At 36.9% G+C, this 27020-nt stretch overlaps 1 long non-coding RNA gene across 1 annotated transcript, besides 2 other annotated features; it reads left to right on the plus strand.

Annotated features, from left to right (window-relative positions):
- Positions 3931-4481: an enhancer, noted in NCBI's record as "OCT4-NANOG-H3K27ac hESC enhancer chr6:115352812-115353362 (GRCh37/hg19 assembly coordinates)". NCBI's record gives its function as "activates a minimal SCP1, AML or CMV promoter by ChIP-STARR-seq in primed H9 embryonic stem cells {active_cell/tissue: H9 hESC(primed)}" and the evidence as "EXISTENCE:reporter gene assay evidence [ECO:0000049][PMID:30033119]".
- Positions 9313-9860: an enhancer, noted in NCBI's record as "OCT4-NANOG-H3K27ac hESC enhancer chr6:115358194-115358741 (GRCh37/hg19 assembly coordinates)". NCBI's record gives its function as "activates a minimal SCP1, AML or CMV promoter by ChIP-STARR-seq in primed H9 embryonic stem cells {active_cell/tissue: H9 hESC(primed)}" and the evidence as "EXISTENCE:reporter gene assay evidence [ECO:0000049][PMID:30033119]".
- LOC105377960 (uncharacterized) lies at positions 19057-25763 on the plus strand. The gene is made up of 3 exons (XR_942905.1): positions 19057-19116; positions 23006-23103; positions 25726-25763. It is a non-coding gene; the product is annotated as an uncharacterized LOC105377960 (long non-coding RNA).
- The last annotated feature ends 1257 nt before the right edge of the window (positions 25764-27020 follow it).

Genomic DNA, 27020 nt, shown 5'->3' on the forward strand with positions numbered 1-27020 from the left:
CTTATATACTGTTTTTTTTTCCTCATTGGCACTTTCAGGTACTATACTAAGGCCAAATCCAGTTCAGGAATAAAACAATCTACTAAAATAAAACCAGAAATATCTCTCACTCTCTCCAAAAGCAACTTCCCCCTCTACCTGCTGCCCTATCTCCTTCCCTTTACAGACTAATTTCTTGTTTGTGTTGTCTAAACTTGTGGCATCTACTTTACCTCCCTCTCGCTAGTCAAATTACTTTTATTTGGCACACAAAACTTCACTTAAACTGCTTTTCTCAAGGCCAACAATGATATATTTGTCCCTAAATTAAATGGATACTTTTCAGATGTCATGCTTCTTGATCTCTGGGTAGAATTTCAAACTTTTAACAATTTCTTGCTTTATAAAGCTTTCTTTTTCTTAGCTTCTGTAGCATGCAACATTCTAGTTGATAAGAATTCATACTCTGTGATTTCCTTGTAATGCACAAATATCTCTCATTCCCTTTCAGCCTGACTGCATGCATCCCTTTCTTCAAATGTTACCTAAATGTTGCTGGCACCAAGATTGTGCTCTCTTCTTATTCATTTACATTCACCAATTGGGTACTCTCAGTCATTCCTAGAAATGTAATTAGCATATACTTATATATGAATCCCAAATTGAATTCAATAGAAACTCAAAGATCCAGACTCATATTGTTCACTAGATATAATTATTTGAATCTCTCATAGGTCCTTCAAAATCATATTCTTTACTTCTAGTGCTAATCAAGATGGAGTAGGCCCACTACAGCCTATGCCCTTCACTAATTACAACTGTCAACTGAGCACAATATGAAAAACAGCTAACAGAAGACATAAAAATAAGCAATAACAGGAAAATTGGCAAGAGAAGTCAAAAGTTGAAAAACAAAAATCACTGTCAACTTTCCTGTTTATTTTTTTTCTTTAATTTCCAGCTTTGACTTGAGATTAATCTCTTTGCCAGCTACACTACCCCAATAAAAATAATAGTGTGGGTATGTGAAATCCAGAGAGAAAAATCAACCCCTCTGGCCAGAGAAATCAAGAAAATTGTCTCCTGAGAACCAGCTTATATGTGTTGGAAACTCTTTTTTTCACTCTTTTTAATTACTATGTTGTCTATAGGGCAGCCCAGTTGCACACAGATGTACAAGTGCACAGGAACTAAAACTCTGAAATAAATCTTTCCTTCTAACTAGATTAACTAAGAAAAGGACATTCTGGGATATGGAAAATGTAGAGAAAAATAAAAAAGAAAAAGTGGAGGAAGCTAAAGAATTTTATTCACTAATTCTGTGTGCACAAAAACTCAAGTCCTGGACTCATGGGTATACCAAGTCTTCAGCCGCACATGCATGGGCTAGATCTAAACAAACACAGCACAAGCTGTTATATAAACCACTGACCATGCCTAGATTAACCTTAGGGTGGTATATGCATAGTACAGATCTAAAAAACATATCACTGAGTGTGAAAACTGAACTTGACATTATAACCACAGCACACAGATGGTGAGATCAGAGTTGGATCCTAAATCTAACTGGGTTTACAGACAGCAAACACACACACATACACACATTAACATTCTTTGCGAGTTTTAATAGGACCTAGAGCTCCACAACATGATATGAAATATCTAGAACATAATCCAAAAGAAGGGGGAGAATCTCACCAATTTGAAGGGGAAAAACATAAACAGATGCCAAAACCAGAAATTATCAAAGACTTAAAAAGCAGTCATTATAATCATTCTTTATGAGATAAAGATGGATTCCTGAAATTTTTGGAAATAAATATGTTTTGCTGAGTGGTGTGTGTGTCTGTGTGTGTGTGTGTGAAAGAGAGAAAGAGAGACAAAAAAGTAAACAAATAGGGACTAAAGGACTGAAAAGTTTAGATCTAAAAGAAAAATTCACTGGGTTCAATTAAGTGGGAGAGATAACAGTAAATAATCAATGAATTTAAAGCTAGATCAATAGAAATCAGTCACTTTGAAGAGCAGAAACAACAAAGATTTTTTAGAAAACATGAGCAGAGACTCAGTGAAAAGTGGGTCAATATCAAAAGTTCTAACATTGAATTACTGAGGAAAGTAAAATAAAAAGAGACTGATACAGAAAAAATATTTTACAAAACAATGGTGCCAAACACCCCAAATTTGTTGAAAGACAAACATACAGATTCAAAGCTCATCTGATACTCAAAGGGATAAACTCAAGGAAAATCATGCTCAGAGTCATCAAAATAGAGCTGCTAAAAACCAAACATAAAGAATAAACCTTGAAAGCAACCAGAGAAAATGACACACTGCATATCAGAGAGCTGCACTTTCATTTAGATTACTTACCAGGAAAAAATGAAGGAGGACAGAAGACAGAGAGAGAATATACCATTCTTAAGTGGTATTAGTATTGAAACAACAACAAAAATGTCAACACAAAGTTCTATATTCATTTAAAATATCTTTCAGGAAAAACAAATTTGAAATTTTCAGATGAAGAAAAATTAAGAAAATCTGTTGCCAACAGACCTGATATAAAAGAAATGCTAAATAAAGTTCTTCAAATGTAAGGGAAATTTTAACAGAAGAAAACCTGGAATGTAAGGAATGAAGAAAGAGTAACCAAAATGGTATGCTTCTGGGTAATTAGAATAGACTTTCTCCTCTTGAGTCCTTCAAAATATGAAAGACAAAGCAAAAAGTATATGGTGTTGAACCTTGAACAACATGGGTTTCAACTGCATGGGTCCACTTATATCCAGATTTTTTTCAATAAAAGTTACAAAGAATATGTCTGCCTCTCCTGTCCCCCCTTCCACCTCCGCCACCTTTTCCCTCCACTGCCACCTGAGACAGCAAGACAACCCCTTCTGTTTCTCCTCCTCCTCAGCTTACTCAAATAAAGACTGTGAGGATAAAGACCTTTATGATGATCCACTCCCACTTAACAAATAGTAAATATATTTTTCTCTCATTACTTTTCTAATTAGGATTTTATTTTCTGTAGCTTACTGTATTGTAAGAATACAGTAAATAAAACATATAGCACACAAAATATGAGCTAATTGACAGTTTATGTTATCTGTAAGGCTTCCAGTCGACATAAGGCTATTAGTAGTTCAGATCTTGAGGAGTTAAAACTTACACATGGGTTTTCAACTGCAGGGGTGATGTTTTCAATGTATATAGGTCTAAAATGTATATATTTTTAGTATTTATACTAAATGTATATATTTTTAGTATATATACTAAATATATACTAAATGTATATATTTTTAGTATATATACTAAATATATACTAAATGTATATATTTTTAGTATATATACTAAATATATACTAAATGTATATATTTTTAGTATATATACTAAATATATACTAAATGTATATATTTTTAGTATATATACTAAATATATACTAAATGTATATATTTTTAGTATATATACTAAATATATACTAAATGTATATATTTTTAGTATATATACTAAATATATACTAAATGTATATATTTTTAGTATATTTTGTTTAGTATATTTAGTATATACTAAATACATACTAAATGTATATATTTTTAGTATATATACTAAAAATAATAGAAAGAGAAATAGACAAAACGCAAGTAGATAAGTTAAAATAAAATTCTAAAAACCATTCAAAAAATAATAGGAAATTGTGAAAGAAGGAACAAAAAGAGAGAAGACAATTAAAACAAATAATTAAATGGTGGATAAAAAATATAACCACATTGATAACTACATTAAAATTAAATGGTCTAAGTGCACTCATTAGAAGACAAAAAAAAGTTAGACTGTGTAAAATAAGAAGAGCCAATGACATATTATCTTAAAAAAACTTTAAATATACTACAGAAAAATCAAAGATAAAAATCTACACAAGAAGAACAAAGCTGGAAGCATCACGCTACCTGACTTCAAACTGTACTACAAGGCTACAGTAACAAAAACAGCATGGTACTGGTACCAAAACAGATATATAAACCAATGGAACAGAACAGAGGCATCAGAAATACTGCCACACATCTACAACCATCTGATCTTTGACAAACATGACTGTCAGGCCTCTGAGCCCAAGCTAAGCCATCGCATCTCCTGTGACTTGCATATATATGCCCAGATGGCCTGAAGTAACTGAAGAATCACAAAAGAAGTGAATATGCCCTGCCCCACCTTAACTGATGAGATTCCACCACAAAAGAAGTGTAAATGGCCGGTCCTTGCCTTAACTGATGACATTACCTTGTGAAAGTCCTTTTCCTGGCTCATCCTGGCTCAAAAAGCACCCCCACTGAGCATCTTGCGACCCCCACTCCTGCCCGCCAGAGAACAAACCCCCTTTGACTGTAATTTTCCTTTACCTACCCAAATCCTATAAAATGGCCCCACTCTTATCTCCCTTCCCTGACTCTCTTTTCAGACTCAGCCCGCCTGCACCCAGGTGAAATAAACAGCCATGTTGCTCACACAAAGCCTGTTTGGTGGTCTCTTCACACGGATGCACATGAAATTTGGTGCCGTGACTCGGATCGGGGGACCTCCCTTGGGAGATCAATCCCCCGTCCTCCTGCTCTTTGCTCCGTGAGAAAGATCCACCTACGACCTCAGGTCCTCAGACCGACCAGCCCAATGAACATCTCACCAATTTTAAATCAGGTAAGCAGCCTCTTCTTACTCTCTTCTCCAACCTCTCACTGTCCCTCAACCACTTTCTCCTTTCCACTCTTCAATCTCTCCCTTCTCTTAATTTCAATTCCTTTCATTTTCTGGGAGAGACAAAGGAGACACATTTTATCCGTGGACCCAAAACTCCGGCGCTGGTCACAGACTGGGAAGGCAGCCTTCCCTTGGTGTTTAATCATTGCAGGGACACCTCTCTGATTATTCACCCATGTTTCAAAGGTGTCAGACCATGCAGTGATGCCTACCTTGGTCCTTCACCCTCAGCAGCAAGTCCCGCTTTTCTGGGGAAGGGGCAAGTACCCCAACCTCTTCTCTCCTTTTCTCTACCCCTTCTCTGCTTTCCTGGGGCAGGGGCAAGTACCCCCCAACCCTTTTCTCCTTCACCCTTAGCGGCAAGTCCTGCTTTCCTGGGGCAGGGGCAAGTACCCCTCAACCCCTTCTCTTTCACCCTTAGTGGCAAGTCCCGCTTTTCTAGGGGGAAAGAACCCCCAGTCCCTTATTTCTGCACCCCAACCTCGTATCTCTGTGCCCCAATCCCTTATTTCCATGCCCCGACCCCTTATTTCCGTGCCCCAACCCCTTATTTCTGTGCCCTATCCCTTATTTCCATGCCCCAACCTCTTATCTCTGCACCCCAACCCCTTTTCCCACTTTTCTGGAAGGTAAGAACCCCCGAACCCCTTCCCTCCATTTCTCTACTCTCTCTTTTCTCTAGGCTTGCTTCCTTCACTATAGGCAACCTTCCACCCTCCATTCTTCCCTCTACTCCCTTGGCCTGTGTTCTCAAAAACCTAAAACCACTTCAACTCACATCTGACCTAAAACCTAAATGCCTTATTTTCTTCTGCAATGCCGCTTGACCCCAATACAAACTTGACAGTAGTTCCAAATAGCCAGAAAATGGCACTTTGAAGTTTTCCATCCTGCAAGATCTAAATAATTCTTGTCGTAAAATAGGCAAATGGTCTGAGGTGCCTGATATCCAGGCATTCTTTTACACATCAGTCCCTTCCTAGTCTCTGTGCCCAGTGCAACTCGTCCCAAATCTTCCTTCTTTCCCTCCCGCCTGTCCCCTCAGTCCCAACCCCAAGCATCACTCAGTCTTTCTAATCTTCCTTTTCTACAGACCCATCTGACCTCTCCCCTCCTTGCCAGGCCAAGCTAGGTCCCAATTCTTCCTCAGCCTCCGCTTCTCCACCCTATAATCTTTTTATCGCCTCCCCTCCTCACACCTGGTCTGGCTTACAGTTTCGTTCTGTGACTAGCCCTCCCCCACCTGCCCAGCAATTTACTCTTAAAAAGGTGGCTGGAGCCAAAGGCATAGTCAAGGTTAATGCTCCTTTTTCTTTATCCCAAATCAGATAGCGTTTAGGCTCTTTTTCATCAAATATAAAAATCCAGCCCAGTTCATGGCTCGTTTGGCAGCAACCCTGAGAGGCTTTACAGCCCTAGACCCTAAAAGGTCAAAAGGCCGTCTTATTCTCAATATACATTTTATTACCCAATCTGCTCCCGACATTAAATAAAACTCCAAAAATTGGAATCTGGCCCTCAAACCGCACAACAGGACTTAACCTCACCTTCAAGGTGTACAATAACAGAAAAAAGTTGCAATTCCTTGCCTCCACTGTGAGACAAACCCCAGCCACATCTCCAGCACACAAGAACTTCCAAACGCCTGAACCGCAGCAGCCAGGCGTTCCTCCAGAACCTCCTCCCCCAGGAGCTTGCTACACATGCCGGAAATCTGGCCACTGGGCCAAGGAATGCCCGCAGCCCGGGATTCCTCCTAAGCCGCATCCCATCTGTGTGGGACCCCACTGAAAATCGGGCTGTTCAACTCACCTGGCAGACACTCCAGAGCCCCTGGAACTCTGGCCCAAGGCTCTCTGACTGACTCCTTCCCAGATCTACTCGGCTTAGCAGCTTAAGACTGACACTGCCCGATCGCCTCAGAAGCCCCCTAGACCATCACGGACGCCGAGCTTCAGGTAACTCTCACAGTGGACGGTAAGCCCGTCCCCTTCTTAATCAATACGGAGGCTACCCACTCCACATTACCTTCTTTTCAAGGGCCTGTTTCCCTTGCCTCCATAACTGTTGTGGGTATTGACGGCCAGGCTTCTAAACCTCTTAAAACTCCCCAACTCTGGTGCCAACTTAGACAATACTCTTTTAAGCACTCCTTTTTAGTTATCCCCACCTGCCCAGTTCCCTTATTAGGCTGAGACACTTTAACTAAATTATCTGCTTCCCTGACTATTCCTGGACTACAGCTATATCTCATTGCCGCCCTTCTTCCCAATCCAAAGCCTCCTTTGCGTCCTCCTCTTGTATCCCCCCACCTTAACCCACAAGTATAAGTTACCTCTACTCCCTCCTTGGCAACCGACCATGCACCCCTTACCATCTCATTAAAACCTAATCACCCTTACCCCACCCAACTCCAATATCCCATCCCGCAGCATGCTTTAAAAAGATTAAAGCCTGTTATCACTCGCCTGCTACAGCATGGCCTTTTAAAGCCTATAAACTCTCCTTACAATTCCCCCATTTTACCTGTCCTAAAACCAGACAAGCCTTACAAGTTAGTTCAGGATCTGCACCTTATCAACCAAATTGTTTTGCCTATCCACCCCGTGGTGCCAAACCCATATACTCTCCTATCTTCCATACCTGCCTCTACAACCCATTATTCTGTTCTAGATCTCAAACATGCTTTTTTCACTATTCCCCTGCATCCCTAATCCCAGCCTCTCTTCGCTTTCACTTGGACTGACCCTGACACCCATCAAGCTCAGCAAATTACCTAGGCTGTACTGCCGCAAAGCTTCACAGACAGCCCCCATTACTTCAATCAAGCCCAAATTTCTTCCTCATCTGTTACCTATCTCAGCATAATGCTCATAAAACACACGTGCTCTCCCTGCCAATCGTGTCTGACTGAGCTCTCAAACCCAAGCACCTTCTACAAAACAACTCCTTTCCTTCCTAGGCGTGGTTAGCGCGGTCAGAATTCTTACACAAGAGCCAGGACCACACCCTGTAGCCTTTCTGTGCAAACAACTTGACCTTACTGTTTTAGCCTAGCCCTCATGTCTGCGTGCAGTGGCTGCTGCTGCTTTAATACTTTTAGAGGCCCTCAAAATCACAAACTATGCTTAACTCACTCTCTACAGTTCTCATAACTTCCAAAATCTATTTTCTTCCTCATACCTGACACATATACTTTCTGCTCCCTGGCTCCTTCAGCTGTACACACTCTTTGTTGAGTCTCCCACAATTACTGTTGTCCCTGGCCCAGACTTCAATCCGGCCTCCCACATTATTCCTGAAACCACACCTGACCCCCATGACTGTATCTCTCTGATCCACCTGACATTCACCCCATTTCCCCACATTTCCTTCTTTCCTGTTCCTCACCCTGATCACGCTTGATTTATTGATGGCGGTTCCACCAGGCCTAATCGCCACACACCAGCAAAGGCAGGTTATACTATAGTACAAGCCAGCCCGCCTCTTAGAACCTCTCATTTCCTTCCCATCATGCAAATCTATCCTCAAGGAAATAACTTCTCAGTGTTCCATCTGCTATTCTAATACTCCTCAGGGATTATTCAGGCCCCCTCCCTTCCCTACACATCAAGCTTGAGGATTTGCCCCACCCAGGACTGGCAAATTAGCTTTACTCAACATGCCCTGAGTCAGATAACTAAAATACCTCTTAGTCTAGGTAGATACTTTCACTGGATAGGTAGAGGCTTTTCCTACAGGGTCTGAGAAGGCCACTGCAGTCATTTCGTCCCTTCTGTCAGACATAATTCCTCAGTTTGGCCTTCCCACCTCAATACAGTCTGATAACAGACAAGCCTTTATTAGTCAAATCAGCCAAGCAGTTTTTCAGGCTCTTAGTATTCAGTGAAACCTTTATATCCCTTACGGTCCTCCATCTTCAAGAAAAGTAGAATGGACTAAAGGTCTTTTAAAAACACACCTCACCAAGCTCAGCCACCAAAAAGGATTGGACAATAGTTTTACCACTTTCCCTTCTCAGAATTCAGGCCTGTCCTCGGAATGCTACAGGGTACAGCCCATTTAAGCTCCTATATAGACGCTCCTTTTTATTAGGCCCCAGTCTCATTCCAGACACCAGACCAACTTAGACTGTGCCCCAAAAAACTTGTCTTCCCTGCTATCTTCTGTCTAGTCATACTCCTATTCACCGTTCTCAACTACTCATACATGCCCTACTCTTGTTTACACTGCCAGTTTACACTGTTTTTCCAAGCCATCACAGCTGATATCTCCTGGTGCTATCCCCAAACTGCCACTCTTAACTCTTGAAATAAATAAATAATCTTTGCTGGCAGGACTATGCCGAATCTCCTTAAGCACTCTCTAATCAGATATCCTGAGTCGTCCCAATTCTTAGACCTTTTATACCTGTTTTTCTCCTTCTGTTATTCCATTTAGTTTCTCAATTCATCCAAAACCGTATCCAGGCCATCACCAATCATTCTATAAGACAAATGTTTCTTCTAACATCCCCACAATATCACCCCTTACCACAAGACCTCCCTTCAGCTTAATCTCTCCCACTCTAGGTTCCCACGCCGCCCCTAATCCCGCTTGAAGCAGCCCTGAGAAACATCGCCCATTCTCTCTCCATACCACCCCCCAAAAATTTTCGCCGCCCCAACACTTCAACACTATTTTGTTTTATTTTTCTTATTAATATAAGAAGGCAGGAATGTCAGGCCTCTGAGCCCAAGCCAAGCCATCGCATCCCCTGTGACTTGCAGGTATATGCCCAGATGGCCTGAAGTAACTGAAGAATCACAAAAGAAGTGAATATGCCCTGCCTCACCTTAACTGATGACATTCCACCACAAAAGAAGTGTAAATGGCTGGTCCTTGCCTTAACTGATGACATTACCTTGTGAAAGTCCTTTTCCTGGCTCATCCTGTCTCAAAAACACCCCCACTGAGTACCTTGCGACCCCCACTCCTGCCCGCCAGAGAACAAACCCCCTTTGACTGTAATTTTCCTTTACCTGCCCAAATCCTATAAAACGGCCCCACCCTTATCTCCCTTCTCTGACTTTCTTTTCGGACTCAGCCCGCCTGCACCCAGGTGAAATAAACAGCCATGTTGCTCACACAAAGCCTGTTTGGTGTTCTCTTCACACGGACACGCATGAAAATGACAAAAACAAGCAATGAGGAAAGGATTCCCTATTTAATAAATGGTGTTGGGAATACTGACTAGCCATATGCAGAAAGCTGAAACTGGATCCCTTCCTTATACCTTATATGAAAATTAACTCAAGATGGATTAAAGACTTAAACGTAATACCTAAAAATCATAAAAACCCTAGAAGAAAACCTAGGCAATACCATTCAGGACATAGGCATGGGAAAAGACTTTATGACTAAAACACCGAAAGCAATGGCAACGAAAGCCAAAATTCACAAATCGGATCTGATTAAACTAAAGAGCTTCTGTACAGCAAAAGAAACTGTTGTCAGAGTGAACAGGAAACCTACAGAATGGGAAAAAAATTTTGCAATCTATCCATCTGATAAGGGGCTAATATCCAGAATCCACAAAGAATTTAAACAAATTTACAAGAAAAAAACAAAAAAAACCCATCAAAAAGTGAGTGAAGGTTATAAACAGACACTTCTCAAAAGAAGAATCCATGCAGCCAACAAACATATGAAAAAAAGCTCATCATCACTGGTCATTAGAGAAATGCAAATGAAAACCACAATGAGATACCATCTCATGCCAGTTAGAATGGCAGTCATTAAAAGGTCAGGAAACAACAGATGCTGGAGAGCATGTGGAGAAATAGGAATGATTTTACACTGTTGCTGGGAATGTAAATTAGTTCAACCACTGTGGAAGACAGTGTGGTGATTCCTAAGGATCTAGAATTAGAAATACCATTTGACCCAGCAATCCCATTACTGGATATATACCGAAAGGATTATAAATCATTCTGCTATAAAGACACATGCACATGTATGTTTATTGCAGCACTGTTCACAATAGCAAAGACTTGGAACCAACCCAAATGCCCATCAGTGATAGACTGGATAAAGCAAATGTGGCATATATACACCATGGAATACTATGTAGCCATAAAAAAGGATGAGTTCATGTCCTTTGCAGGAACATTGATAAGGCTGTAAACCATCATTCTCAGCAAATTAACACAAGAACAGAAAACCAAACACCACATGTTCTCACTCATAAGTGGGAATTGATCAATGAGAAGGGAACATCACACCGGGGCCTGTCAGGGGGTGGGGGGCTAGGGGAGGGATAGCATTAGGAAAAATACCTAATGTAGATGACGGGTTAATGGGTGCAGCAAACCACCATGTCACGTGTATACCTATGTAACAAACCTGCACATTCTGCCCATGTACCCCAGAACTTGAAGTAAAATAAAATAAAAATCCTAACTTGCTAAAAAAGAAAAAAGAAAAAAATTATGCAAACATTAATCAAAAGAAGTCTGTAGTAGCTATATCAGCAGTAGACAAATTAAATTTTAGAACAAAGAAAATCATCAGGAATACAGACAGAGATTACGTAATGACAGAGGTAAATTCATCAAGAAGACATAATACTAAATGTTTGTATAGAGAAGTTCAAGAGATATAAAGCAAAACTGATGAAGCTGAAATTAAATGTGGGTAATCTACAATTATAAATGAAGATTTCACCATTTCTTTCTTCATAGTCAATCAAGTTAACAAAAAATAAACAAGATTATAGAAGAACTAAACATCAACCTAATTAACCTAATTGTTTTATACATAGACCTATTCCAAATAAGTGAAAGAAAAAACACTTTCTTTATGTTATTTTTTTAAATTTAGCTTTTAAGTTCAGGGGTACATGTGCCAGTTTGTTATATAGGTAAACTTATGTCATAGGGGTTTGTTGTACATATTATTTCATCACCCAAGTATTAAGCCTAGTACCCATTAGTTGTTTTTTCTAATCCTCTCCCTCTTCTTACCCTCCACCCTTTGATAGGCCCCAGTGTGAAAACACTTTCAATTGTACATAAAATATTCACCAAGATTGATCATAGCATAAGCTATAAGACAAGCCTTAATATAAATTTAAAAGTATTAAAATCATACAAACTATGGTTTGGGACTAATGAGTTAAACTAGAATTTAATAACAGAAATGTATTTGGAAGCTACACACATATTGGAAATTACATACATCTAATATGTATGTAATTCATGTAATTAGATGTATGTAAAATCACATACATCTAAATAACCCATAAGACCCAGGAAGTTAGAAAATATTTTTCCCAAATAAAACTAAAGACACAATAACCAAATCTAGTAGGAATCAAAATTTGTAGACTGTCATGTTTTAAGGGAAACTTGTAGCATGGTTACAGAAACACTTATAGAAAGGAACACTTATTTTAAAACACTTATCATAGAAAGGAATAAAAGGTTCTTAAATTATAAATCCAGGCCTCCACATAATGAAACTAGAGAAAAGAAAGCAATTGAACCCAAAGGAAGAAAAAGTTAGAAAGTAATAAGTATAAGAGCAGATAATAGTTAAGTTGACTGCAGAAAAACAATAGGAAAAAAAATCAATGAATCCTAAAGATTGTTCTTGATAATGTTCTTCGATGAACTCCCAGCCAGAATGACCAAGAAAAAAAGAGAGAAGATACAAATTACCTATATTAGGAATGAAAAGGGATTATTACTACAGATCCTTCACACATGAAAACAATAATAAGATAGTTCTATAAACAACTCTATTGCTACAAATTTTGACAACCTAGATGAATAAGTTTCAAGAAAGACACAGACTATCAAGACATACTCAAAAAAAGGATAACCTTACCTGAATAGTCCTGTGTCAATTATAGGAATTCAATTTATAGGTAAAATCCCCCTAATGAAGACTCAAGTTCCATATTAACAAATTGAATGTGAGTAATATACAAAAAAGGATAATACGTAATGACTAAATAAGAATTATCCTATAAATGCAAAAAAATGTAGCTCACCACATAATTATATAAATAGATTTAGAAAAAGCTTTTAACAAAACCCAGCATCCATCTCTGATTTAAACAAACAAACACCTCTCCACCTAGTATGAATAGAAAGGAACTTCCTTAACTTGATAAATAACTACTATGAATAAACCTCATGTGAACATGATACTCAGTGGTAAAATACAGAATGTTTTCCATCTAAGATAAAAAAAAGACTAGTGAGTCTGTTTTGCACGCTTCTATTCAACACTGCATTGCATGTCCTAGCCAGTGCAATCAGGCAAGAAAAACAAAAGACATGTCTATTAAGAAAACATGATTGTCTCTGTAAAAAAAAATAAATAAATAAAAAATAAATAAATCTACAAAAATTTCCCAGAACGAATAACCAAGTTTAGCCAGAAAACAAAAGGTCAAAATACAAGATTTAAATCTATTTGTAATTTGTGTAAATTAACAATTGAAATTCAAAATTTCAGAAGGCAGTAGCATTTAAAATAACGTTCAAGAAATAAAATACTTAACTATATATCTAGAAATATATGTGTAGAATCTGTATTTTTCTGATTCTAATCTGAACATGTGACCTGTAACAGAATAAAAAGACAAGCTAGACTTGGAGAAAATATTTGCAAATCATATATCTGACAAACAACTTGTATCCAAAATATATTATGAACTCTGAAACTCAAAATTAGAAAGCAAACAAAAATGGACAAAATATTTGAAGAGATACATTATCAAAAAACGTATACTGATCTAAATAAGGATATGGAAAGTTGCTCAATATTATTATGAGAATGCAAATTAAGACCACAATGTGGTAACACTGTGCACCAAAAATGGCTTTAACAAAACATGACAACACCAAATGTCAGCCAAGGTGTGGAGAAACAGAAACTCTCATACCTTTCTTATGGGAATGTAAATTTTACAACCACATAAAAAAAAAATTGTCATTTTCTTAAAATGTTAAGTATAAGCTTGCCATGAAACCCAATAATTAATCTCCTAAGAATCTACCCCAAAGAAATAAAAACATATGTTCATGCAAAAACTTGTTAATGAATATTTGCAGCAGTATTATTTATAGTAGACAAAAACTAGAAATAAGCACTATGTCCATCAACTGGTAAATAAACAAAATGTTCTGTATTCGTATAATAGAATATTATTCAGCAATAAAAATAAACAAAATTCTGATATATCTTACAGCATGGTTCATCTGCAAAAAAAACATGCTAAGTAAAAGAAGCCAGATGCAAAGACCCTATATTGTATAATTTTATTTATATGAAATGCTCAGAAGAGATTGATTTATGGAAACAGAAGACAAATCAGTGGTTGTCTGGAGCTGCAGGGTGCTACAAGAAATTGATGCAAATGAGATTGAGAAAATTTTTTGAGGAGATATAAAGTACTAAAACTGGATTGTGGTGATGATTGCATAACTCTATAATAATTATTGTCTGCTGTTTCTGTCAGTGTAAATCTATCAGTAGCCCTTCACCCTGATATTGGGCTTTCAGTATACTAACAATAGTTATATTAAGTGTATGATTCCATTTACATGACACTGTGGAAAAAGCAGAACTCTAGGGACAAAAACATCAATTTTTGCTCAGGGGCTAGGAGTAAAGGGAGTATTTGACTACAAAAGAGTAGAATGAGAGAATTTTGGAAGTTATGGAAATATTTTATATCTTCAACGCAGTAGTTACACAGCCTTTTGCATTGGTCACATTTCATATAACTATAAACTGAATAATCCACTTTACATGTTAATTTAAAGTACATTTAAAAAATCATTTTAAAAGTTGAGTTCATTTTCCCTGCCAAACTTACTCCTCCTCTGGTGTTATCTGTTTTAGTTAATGGCAATAACAATCACCAGTTGCCCAAAGCAAACTTGAGCATCATTCTTAACATCTCCTATTTTACCCACTATGTCTAAGCAAATCCTAAGCATTTCTGGAATCATTTTAAATTATCTTCATCCTCGTTATTATGTTTCTGTTCCTAGCAAACATATTTTTTATGAGAATTACTTGAAAGCCTATTAGCTGCAATACCATTTTTTCAGGTTATGGAATATTCAGATGAAACAGTGACTGAATTAGAGAAATAATTAAGATCATCCAGAGATGAATACTATGAGTACCATACAGAAGGGGAAATAATGACTCTGGAGACTTTATATTTCCACTTTTTTTTGTGAAAGGATTCGATTTGAGTATGATTTCATTTTGTAAAGTGAAAACATAGGGCTGGAATCATTGTATGAAAATCCAAATACGTGTAAAAGGATAGGATGGTGCTGAATAGCCACAAGAGTGGGCTGTGCCAGTTAAGATGCCATTGTCTCTCAGATCCTGATAGGCCCTTCTAAGTTCTACTTTCTAACGATGAAGGTAGGATTCCAAAAACTGTATTTCTGTATTGTCAGCTGTCTTCCTATTAGATTCTGCTAATAGGGGTATAGCAGGAAGACAGGAGGAAACTAGGAAGAACTTGCTCTTTGCTGTTTATCTGCTGCTCCTGACATTGTCACTGTTGACAGCTCTTTACCCTGACATTGGCTGGTACTTCCATTTGTCCCTCCAGAATCAGCTTCTTTGTGACCTCCTCAGAGGTATAGACACAATAAGGGCTGTGCTGCTTTCCCCAAAGTCTGAGTCATAGCTTTGCAAGACCTCTTCTCAAAGCTCCAAGGTATCAGTACCAACTGGGTGGCATCCACTCCTTAGAAACCTCAGGTAAAAAGACTTTGATGCTCTTTTTCAATCCTCTACATATTGATAACTTCAAAATATGATTTCCCAGCCCAAGGCCTGGTAGCTACATACCGAAGTTACCGGGGGTCTGTGTTATCTTGATCTTCTCTTTTTGGCTTTTTCAATCTTTCAACCCCTATTTAACCCAGCCCTTAAAATTACAGTTGTCCCTCAGTCTACACAGGGGATTGGTTCCAAGACCCCTGCACATACCAAAACCTGCACTACTGAAATCCCACAGTTGGCCCTGCCAAACTCACATATGTTAAAAGTCAGTCCTCCATATACATAGGTTTCACATCAAGAAAATAATGTATTTTTGATTGGCATTTGGTTGAAAAAAATCTGCATATTTATGGCAGCACTCAGTTCAATCCCACACATTGTTCAAGGGTCAACTGTATATTCTCTGGTTGTAATATCTAGAACAAATTTTGATTTTGTGATGGGTCCTGATGGATACCACTATTTTCATTACTTCAAAACTTCCATACTGCAGCTACAGTAATCTTTCTTTCGTGTTTTTTTTTTGTTTTTTTGTTTTTTTGAGACAGAGTCTCGCTCTGTCGCCCAGGCTGGAGTGCAGTGGCACTACAATCTCCGCCTCCCGGGTTCACGCCATTCTCCTGCCTCAGCCTCCAGAGTAGCTGGGACTACAGGCGCCTGCCACCACGCCCGGCTAATTTTTCGTATGTTTTTTTTTTTAGTAGAGACAAGGTTTCACCGTGTTGGCCAGGATGGTCCCCATCTCCTGACCTTGTGATCCGCCCGCCTCGGCCTCCGAGAGTGCTGGGATTACAGGCCTGAGCCGCCGCCCCTGGCCCAGCTACAGTAATCTTTCTAAAACACGAATCTTAACACTTCCTTTATTTCTCAAATTCAGTGGCTTCTCATAATTTTCAAGAAAAATTCTAAACTTATCCTATCATGATGACTTAGCCCTAACTATATCTCTGACATAATCTACCATTACTTTCCCTCCCTTTCAATATACAATAAATTTGACCATAAGGAAGTGAGATACTCTTAGTTCCTCTAATATTTAGAACTTCCTCTCATTTCTGGACCTTCACACATCTTTTGAGTGAGACACTCATTCCTACTACCTTACTTTGGGTAATTCTTATTTACATGTGAGGTATAAGTTTAAACATATATATATATGTGTATATATATATATGTGTGTGTGTGTGTGTATATATATGTGTGTGTGTATATATATATATACATATATATGTGTATATATATATACATATATATATATATGTATATATATTTGAGTCAGAGTCTCCCTCTGTCTCCCAGGCTGGAGTGCAGTGGAGCGATCTCAGCTCACTGCAACCTCCGCCTCCCGGGTTCAAGTGATTCTCCTGCCTCAGCCTCCCAAGTAGCTGGGATTACAGGCGTCCGCTACCACGCCCAGCTAATTTTTGTATTTTTAGTAGAGACGGGGTTTTACCATGTCGGCCATGCTGGTCTCAATCTCTTGACCTCGTGATCCGCCCGCCTGGGCCTCCCAAAGTGCTGGGATTACAGGCATGAGCCACCTTGCCTGGAAACATAATTTTTTTAAGACACCTTCTGTTTGTCATGAAATGTTGCATGTGCCATTGTATTCTGCTTTTATTACATTTCTATTTCCCTTTCCATGCTTCCTCTCAATTGCTTATGTAATCTAATGTTACTGGGCCTTTGTAGAACATTTATTTCCAATTGAGAGGCCAATCTCAGCATATTGTAAAATCACAAACAATAAGAACAATAAAACATAACAACAAAAATTTAATACCAGTCACCATCATTCCAATTACCAGTCGCATCAAAGCTCCCTCTTTAGAAACCGGGATACATGAGTTTTAACTCACTTATAATATTTTCTTATTTCTTTTTACGTTAGTTAAATGACTTGTTCTCTCTGTCATACTCAAAGCTTCAAGAAAGAGAGGACAATGTCTATGCTACTTTTTCACCTGGCCCAATTCTTGATGCCCATTATCAGTCATTAGCACTTACTTCCTCATCAATGGCCTGGGTCACTCAGGTTCTTGAGTAAATTAGAAGAACCAACAGAAATCCAACTCACAGAATCTCTGGAAAGATTATCTTTCCCTCCCTGAGCACCAAGGAAACTGTTTAATAAAGTGGCCCATCTAGCTCTAAATAGTCACATCATATCTTTGTCTGCAAAACAACTTTCTCCTTGCAAATGCCTAATGTCTTATAAATTTCATTCAGCATTTTAGTGCTTGTGTCTCATCTCCTTGTTCACAATTAATAATCTATTTCCAGAAGGCAAAACATTCCTTACTTGCCCTTTCTATGTATACCCATACTCAGCAGGAATATAACTGGCCCCTAGCAAAGGTGAGTCCAGCGGAGAACAAAGTACATTCAAGAAAGGCACTGTGTGAGCAAACATCTCACTTCAGAGAAATCCAGGCTTTGCACTTGAAGGTATATGGGAGGACATAGTGGGTTCAAATTACCCCACTTCATCAGGCAGGGGGCCCAGGTGGTTTAGTTAATGATAGCTTCATACCAGGTGAGGCCCCCATCAGTATATTCTGGGAAAATGTTGATAACTTATGAAGGAAAAAACAAATAAGTAAAAAGGAGATTTTCCTTTTAAATATCTTAAAGGCATTCAATGACTGAAGTCCAAGAAACATATACAATGTGCCAATAACAGAACTGGAATCAGTAAGAAAGAAAAATGAAGTATCCAATATGACAAAACAATGCTGCATCATTTTAATGATAGTACATAAATCAATGTTTTTCTCAGAATTAATATATTTATTTAATTCATGCATCATAAAATTTTAAATAAACTTTGAATGTTACTAAGGAGATATGTAAATGCTTCACCACCCTTGTCCCTCACCTCCATATAATTATAAACATAAGTTTATTATTTTAAATAATAGGGGTTTTAAAAATATCTTTGAAATAACAGGGGTTAATATCCAATGCAATTTCTGAATGTGTTGCAGTAATATCAGTTAAAACAAGCATCTGATTAATGTGGCTTGGGAACCTCAGACAATTTATTGAGCTGCTTGCTGTTTAAAATCTATGATACTTTCCCTCTTCTGTGCAGATATTGATTTGATAGATGAAGTGAGGGTAATTTTTCTTTTAGAGTGGTGATGTTAATGGTCATTGAATTTTCACTGACAACAGCAGTGAACTATGTTTATTAGGGAACTCGAACAGTTGTTTATTTTCCTTCTTTCTTTTGTTTGTTTCTCCCTTTTTCTTCTCCTTATGACTTCAGCCTTTCACAGATGATGGAAAACCTTTAGAAAGGTAAGCCTGGATTTCAGCTTGTCTTTTTGAAGGCAAGATTAATTATAAAGAGGAAAGAAAGATAAGGGACTTTTGTCTGGTTCTATCATCTTACAATCTTGGTCAATATATGCCTTCGTGATCAGTTCTCTATTGTTTGAAATTGTTTCCCTATTGAAATCATTTCTCTATTTTGCACCAGGTGCATTCTAGAGTCCATAATGACATCACAACATCATATTACATGAGTTAAGCTATCGGTGTCATCTGGGAACGGGTATCTCTCAAGGCAAGGTAAGCAAGATAAAGATTCACACACCCCAGGATCTCATCATCCATCATGACACATACCAGAACATCTACTAAATAAGGTTAAAATTCCATTTTAGTGAAGAGGCCATTTTTCCCATGAGTTTCCCATCGTATAGGGAAAAGTATAGGAAATTTTTTTTGTCATTTGAAGAATAAACAAGCTGCCAGAAAGCCTGGAAGTGTGGTGTCAGCTGTTTACAAGAGACTAATGGAAATGCCAGTTGCTCACCTCTTACAGATGTTGTTGGGGTCTATAGAATGTTGTGGTCATCCCTGCTAGAAGGAGACAGTTTTATTTTTTTGAGAAGCTGAGCTTGGGTACGTTCCCTGCCACTGAGGGAAGGAGCAGGTCCCAACTAGCATGTCATCTAGTCAACCTAGAATGGGCTCCTAGAGTCATTTTCAGGCAATTTCATTCACTGTTTCAACATTTTTATGAGAAAATAAAATGAAAATTATGTATATAAAATCACAATTACATAGACATGATATAGTTAAGTTTATATATATAATTGCAATATATATATACAGGCACTTTAGTGAAAATTTACTATATACATTATAAATATATGTATATAACTCATATATACATATGTATATCATGAGCATATGTGTAACCTAATTTTGCATGTGTGCATATGCACATAATATACCAATAGACAGTTTACTGAAAACAAATTTTATCTGGGTATTTCACTGAAGACTATCTGAGTAGACATGATGTAAATGGAAATCAAACATGAGCCAGCTTGAATACTGAATCTGCCTTTAAAGATATGACCTGGGCAACTTATTTTTTTCTGAGCTTCAATTAATGATAAAGTAATGATCATCATAGCTTTTTTGTAAAGTTGTTTGAAGCCTCAAGACGGTAATTGTAAAGCACTTAGTATAATTCCATGTAGTACACACTGACATTCCCAGGTTATTATTGAAATAGATATTTCATGAGGTTTTAAATGTAATATAGAATTTCACTCAGACATTTATTAAAGAAGCATTTAATATAATCTATAGTATTGCATGTTACTTGGAAATACAAAGATAATAAAGCCACAGCCCTAGCTTCATTGGGCTTATACTCTAGGAATGGTACCATGGCAGAGAAGGACATAATTCTTTTAACAGGTGAATAGTATGATATGAGATAATGATTTAAATATACTTCTCTCAGGGGTTTTATTTTTAAAATTTACTTACGTATATTATTAGTTTAATTGATACATATTTATGGGGCATAGTGTAATATTTTGTTACATATGTACAACGTAATGATCAAATCAGAGTAATTAGCAAATCTATCACCTCAAACATTTATCATTTTTTTGTGTTGGTAACACTCAAAATCCCCTCTTCTAGCTATTTGAATATACAATAAACTGTTGTTAACTGTAGTCACCCTACAATGTTATAAAACACTAGAACTTATTCCCAAGAAGTTTTTTTTTTGCAGTGATAACAGTTGTTGTTTTTAATAGTGCATATAGATAGAATTACAGTGAAGATAAATAGTTATCCCTTGAATTATATAGGACTAAGTTCAAAGAAGACCTCATTCTAGGCATGGAATTCTGCAGGTGCACAGGAGCTAGTTTCTCCAAACTTCACCAGGTCTTCACCTGGAGAAGCATATGAAAGGGACACGGCGCCTGAGAGCTCAGCCTGTGTTTAAATATATCATTCAGGAAGAGAAGCTATTCACTTTATTCACTTGCCTTTCTACACCTCCCTTTTTTTATAATAAGATGTCTAATTGGAATGGAGAGTTAGGAGACTTGTCAAAATGTTTTGTTTACACCACTTTTAGTTAGGTTGTATAATGATTTTGGTGGGGTTGGGAGATGTGGTCTTATATGGAGCAGCAGTGGTGATAGAGGAAGTAAAGTAAATTAACACTGCAAGCCTTCTATTTGCTGCTGACATTGAAAATAATTGTTGTGTATCTCATTATATTATTTTTAATTCATTGTATGTGAGTCCGTTAAACATAGTAGGTGATGGCACTTTGAAAATCTATTTGCTGGCTCAAAACTTGTCTATCAATTAATTCTTTCAAAAATAATTATTGATATCTAGAATGTGTCAAAGTGATGGTGATCATCCTTGATGATACAAGGTCAATCAAGATAGATACTAATTTTGCCTACAAAGAGTTTGCAATTGAAATTCATTTGATTTCTCAGGAAGAGTAGGAGAAACTCATCATAACTAATCACTCCCCAAAAGCACATATGTGTTGATTGATATAAAAATAACATACGCCCTGCTACTGATAGAGAGAGCAGGAAAATGAGACGGTCTCTTTCTAACTTGCATCTTCAATAGAAAGATTATGCAATATGCTAGCTGTTTATTCCATACTGAGGGTCCATATTCAGATTCTAAATTCCTCTATATTTTTCCTTTTTTAGAATAATAATACATGATCCACTACCATGGTCAGTTTGTCTATGAGTTAGCTTTATTCAACACAAGTATAAAGTTTCCTTAGAGATCAATGTATAGACATCAGTATTTCATACCTGTGAATATATGATTAGTGAAATGAATGGGAGCAATGATAATATTTATGATTGCTACAGAGAAAAACTACTTAAGCCAAATTGGTCCAGTGTTTTTTTCTGGAAAACTGTTTTACTGGAATGTTGAGAGAGAAAGAGAGAGAGGCAGAGAGAGAAGGCACATTCTTCAGGTAAAATTTCTCCAATCTATGTCCAAATAAATTCATTTGTAAATAATTTATAGTAGTCTTGGTCTTTGGTAAAGTGAGATAGCAGCACCACTGAGACTAACACTAGCGCATTGGAAAACACTGACAACAGGAGAGAACAATCTGTTGTTTATGCATGAGGCATGAAAAGACTTTATAAGTTTGGATAAATGTTCAGAATGCAAACCTACATGATCCATACAGCTGCCACACTATAACCTAGTAAAGTTTCACTGAAGTGCCTGATTCCAGGGAGAGGTCCATAACTTGGTGGAAATTAGAAAACTGACGATTTTGCAGTCACCAACTTGTCCGCAAGTGGAGCTATTTTTTTAAATTGTGTAGGATTTTGAAAAAATTCAGTTGCTTCTCTTCCAATTATTTTGGTCAGTGACATGAAAACATATCTATACTTTTGAGAGTGAGCATGTTTTCTTGGCCAAAAGAGACTGCAAAAGAGAGATTAAAAAAACAGCATTTACTCTGCATATTTGTGTTAGAAAAGGAATTTCTCAATATATATTAAAATGTTGTTATTCCTGTTAAAAACAGAATAAGCTCAGGATGTTGCCGGTATGACTGGAATACTCTGTAGTCACCTTCCATAGGAAAGCAATTGGAAAATATAATTTCCCATTCATTACCTTAAAAATAAGTTTATTATGCCTAATATTCTTTCCATAATATGTTTTTAGAAGCAAGATGGTCAATAGCAAGATTCAAAATTTGCCTTACATATATTTTTTTAAAATTTTCATGATTAATGTTCAACTTGGTGAATTATAGTCTTGATATTAAAAATTATTTAAATTGAGCATACTTATTTTTTTGTTTTCCACTGACATAAACTGTACTTTAACTGCCATTAATAGGCACTACAAATATTTCATTTAACTAATGAGGAAATATACAAATAGATTCAGTTAATATTGGAGTTCATCAATTATTTTTTGAAGAGTTAAGTTGAAAAATGAAAATAAAAAATAGAAGGTGATTTATACATTTCTATCTGTTTGCTCTTTGGAATATGTTTGCCAAGATGAACTATCATTAAATATAAAGTATTTAAAAGTAATATAAACAGAATCTTTAAACATGTAAGTTATGATTTAGTGAAAGCCTTAATTACAATAATAAGCTGTTTGGACTTAATTTTTTAAGGGAGAAGAGAATGATCTCCTTAATATCGAAGAAGGCAATCTTATCAGTGATGTGAAGAACGGATGGTTGGAGTATGGAGGATTGGATCCAAATTAAAGGTGAAAGCCTGCCCACAAGTTATTGCAATAGTCCAGTGAAATGGTTAAGAGGGCCTGTCCTAGGCTAGAAGCCATAGGAATGGAAGGAAAAAGACAGATGTAGAAGGATGCTAAGATAAAGGAACTAGCATCAGTGGGAGTTGAAGCTTGATTACAGGTTGAAAGAGAAGGTGGAATGACAGTCCACACTGGGGTACCCGGCTTGAATCACTTGAAGTGAAATATTCTCGAGGAGAATTCTTGAGGTGGTGTGTGCCTTGGCATGGCTCTTGGGAAAGCTGGTGCTCGCACTTCCAGATTTAACATAGCAGTTGGAACTACCCCTTGGAAGATGCAGAAACAGGCTTAAAAAAGATAGATGAAGACAAACTATGATTGCTTAGAACAAGTTATGTTCTTATTAAAGCATAATTATTTTTCAAGGAAAGCAGAGGAAATTTAGAATTTCAGGTATGAAGTGGCCGGGCGTGGTGGTTCATGCCTGTAATCACAGCACTTTGGGAGGCCGAGGTGGGAGGATCACCTGAGGTCAGAAGTTGGATACAAGCCTGGCCAACGTGGCAAAACCCTGTCTCTAAAAAAAAAAAAAAAAAAAAAAAAAAAAAAAAAAAAAAAAAAAAATTAGTCAGGTGTGGTGGGCACCTGTAATCCCAGCTACTCCGGAGGCTGAGACAAAAGAATCTCTTGAATCCAGGAGGCAGAAATTGCAGTGAGCCGAGATCGCGCCATTGCACTTCAGCCTGGGGGATAAGAGCGAAACTCCCTCAAAAAAAAAAAAAAAAAAAAAAAAAGCCTTCTTCTTTTGGTTTAAAAAATTCAAGTAAAATCCAATAATATACATTTTATACTGAGAAATTAGTCTCAAACAGAGGCTGACTTCACAAAGTTTCCACCAGTATATGCCTTTATATCTAACTTAGAAATCAATTTCAGAGCTGAAACGCCACTGCAAGTATTTCTGAATACTCCTTTTAGTCATCTGCTCAATCACTGCTGCTGTACTATCAGAAATTTTGCATTTGAGCAGTCAGACAGGCACAGACAAGAACCTAGGAGCGCTTACCAGTAACAACCACGAAATGGGGAAAAAGTAGTTGGAAGCTTAAGCTATTTGAGCATACTTTTGATACTATAGCTGGTAATTGGAATTTTTGAGAAATGTAAAATGTATATACACCATTTAAGCCTCAACCTATTTTCCTTTGTTGTGAGTTAATTTCATGCAATTACAAATGATCTTCTGAATTACACGGCACTATGGATGTGTATGGTTTCTCAAACATTAAATGGGTCATTTTCGTAAGTAAATCATACTCAATTAAAATTTTTATCTCTATATGGAGTAAAGTAGGTATTTAATTTTTTTCTCTATAGGTAACCTATTTTCCATCACTACATATTCAATGGAAGGTGGAAAATCATTTACCCTGTAATTTGAAAGGCCATTTGTTTCCTGCATCAAGTTCTATTTATACAGAACTGCCATTCTGGTCTATTTTTAATTTCTCTAGCTTTGTGCCAAAAAAAACACTTAATTAATTAGGATTTATCTCTTAATTATTATGATATTTTGGTAAGGTAATTCACTCTAACATTTCTGTTCTTCAGTGTTAGCGTAATTGAGAACTGAATGGCTCATAAAGAAGGAAACTTGCCTGTTTTGATATTAAACAAGAATAGAAATAAGAAAAACATTTCCCTACACAATTTACATAAACAAGTTCTCAAATAATTTTAATGATTGAACTCAAGTACCTTAGTGGTACAAACAGCTAAAGTTGAAAATTTTGTTTTAAGTTGTCCTGGATTGATATTTCCCACAGGGAATTGGCAAAAGCAAATGCAAATATTCTAAGATGTAAGAAATCAAGTAAATAATAAATAAGCCACAAATAATTTTCAGAGTTAAAGTACCAAAAAAAACTTAGTGGGTCACAGATTTTTTAAAATATTGCACAATAAAAGAAAACAAGTCACCATGTGTGAGCATTAGCTAACACAATAATTAGCCTTGTTAGATTAAAAAAGGCTCCAAAAAATTTGAATCATCAAAGTTGGAATATATTGAAAAAATACATTTTTGTATTAACTATATTAAAAATACATTTTCAAAAATCTTGAAAATATATGTCAACAACAAAAGATTATAAAAAGCAAACCAAGGAGATATATATGTATATATGTGTGTGTGTATATATATACATATAAAATTTGATTTATATATAATTATATATATTTATACATAAACATTCAAATTAAAAATGAAATAAATGGGTTAAACACACTTACAGACAAGTAAAAAGAGAGTGAATAGATAATATAGTTGAAGAATTTTCCATTATTGATCTCAGATATTTAAAGATATGAGAAATACAAAAGAGAGATTTAGAAAGTTCTAAGAAAAAGTGCGAAAATTTAACACAACCAAACAGGATTCAAAAAATATCTAAAAGACATAATTAGGAAGAAATGCTATTTATTCAAAGGAATGATGGATGAGAATTTTCTTTTGTGAGAAACAGAGAATAGAAAGTGCACGTCATGTTTAAGGTTCATGGCTTCATTTGACTTGTAGAGAAATCAGAATTTGTAGACTTTCATTTCCTTAACTTTCTCTTACAGAAATGTTTGTTACACTTTTACTTGGCAGGAAATATTTAGTTTTTTAATACTCAAACACTTTATTGAAGTAGACATTTTCAAGAAGACTGCAAAAAGTCCTGAATGTGTACATTCTGCTGACCACAAAAAAATATATAAAGAACTCAAATAGAAGACTAGGCAGGTGGGTAGAGTTCTTATTTAAGAATATATGCATACTCTATTTCTTGTCATTTTGAATCATAGTTCTGTTATGAATGCTTACAATGAAGAGACCAAGAAACCATTCAATTTATTTAATTAGTGACTAAAATTTTCAGTTTTTATTTCCTGGAGTCTTTTAAACTGAAGCATTGTGAAGACCAAAAACTTAAAAGACATGTTGATTGTAGGACATATATTAGTTTACTCAAATACGCAATGTGTTTGTTTCAAAACCACATGTATAAGTTGACTACTATTTCTGAGTGGGATAAAAAACTTCATGGAAACAGTTTATATAGAGAAGAGGGTCCAAGTTTAAACCACAAATGGCTCCAATCTGTAGAAGGAGAGTGCAGGTAAAGAAGACAGCAAATGAGACTCTTGAAGAGGATCAGTTGAGGTATTGCTCCTCACAAGAAGGCATTAGCTGCGGGGGTCTGCCCGCAGACCCTGACCCAAATGATGGATGAATAAAACATACACTGACACACAGATATTCTGTTTTGCCAGTCCTGCTGAGTGTCCAACCGCCTGCCCACCAAGAAAGGTTTGTCACTGTGGCTGGCCTTGAGCAGTTTGCACTCCAGGCATTTATTTAGTATACAATTAACAACGGATGCTCTGAGTTAACACACTTGTGGATAATTAACATGGTTAAGAGAATAGTTCTACAAATGAATAAAGCTCAGGTACCGTGGTTTAGAGTAAATACCATTAGGCGGCAACATCCCTGGTCGACCTGCCCCCCAGCCCCCCCTCCCACTCAAGAGGGCCATCTGGCTCAAAGGTTAGTTAATGGAAGTAGGGTAAACAGACTTAACTGGGGAAGCCTCTATTGTCCCTAGTATTTACCCTATGACCTAATGCTCTAAGGTAGGGACCAGCTGCCTTCAGCCTGTTCAATTATTACAAGCTATGTAAAAAAGGTTTGTGACTATTCCCTATAACTTTCCCTAATGTTTCCCTTTAATATTTCTGCCACCATCCTGAGTGAATCCCAACAATCAGTGAAGTAAGGGGGAAAAGTGGGGGATGTTAGAGTCTTGGAAGCCATGAGAGAAGAGAGTTTTAAGAATATGAGTGTGGCTGACTTGGTAAGAAATTGAGTAAGG

Source organism: Homo sapiens, chromosome 6 (assembly GCF_000001405.40).
Source record: "Homo sapiens chromosome 6, GRCh38.p14 Primary Assembly".
NCBI lineage: Eukaryota > Metazoa > Chordata > Mammalia > Primates > Hominidae > Homo > Homo sapiens.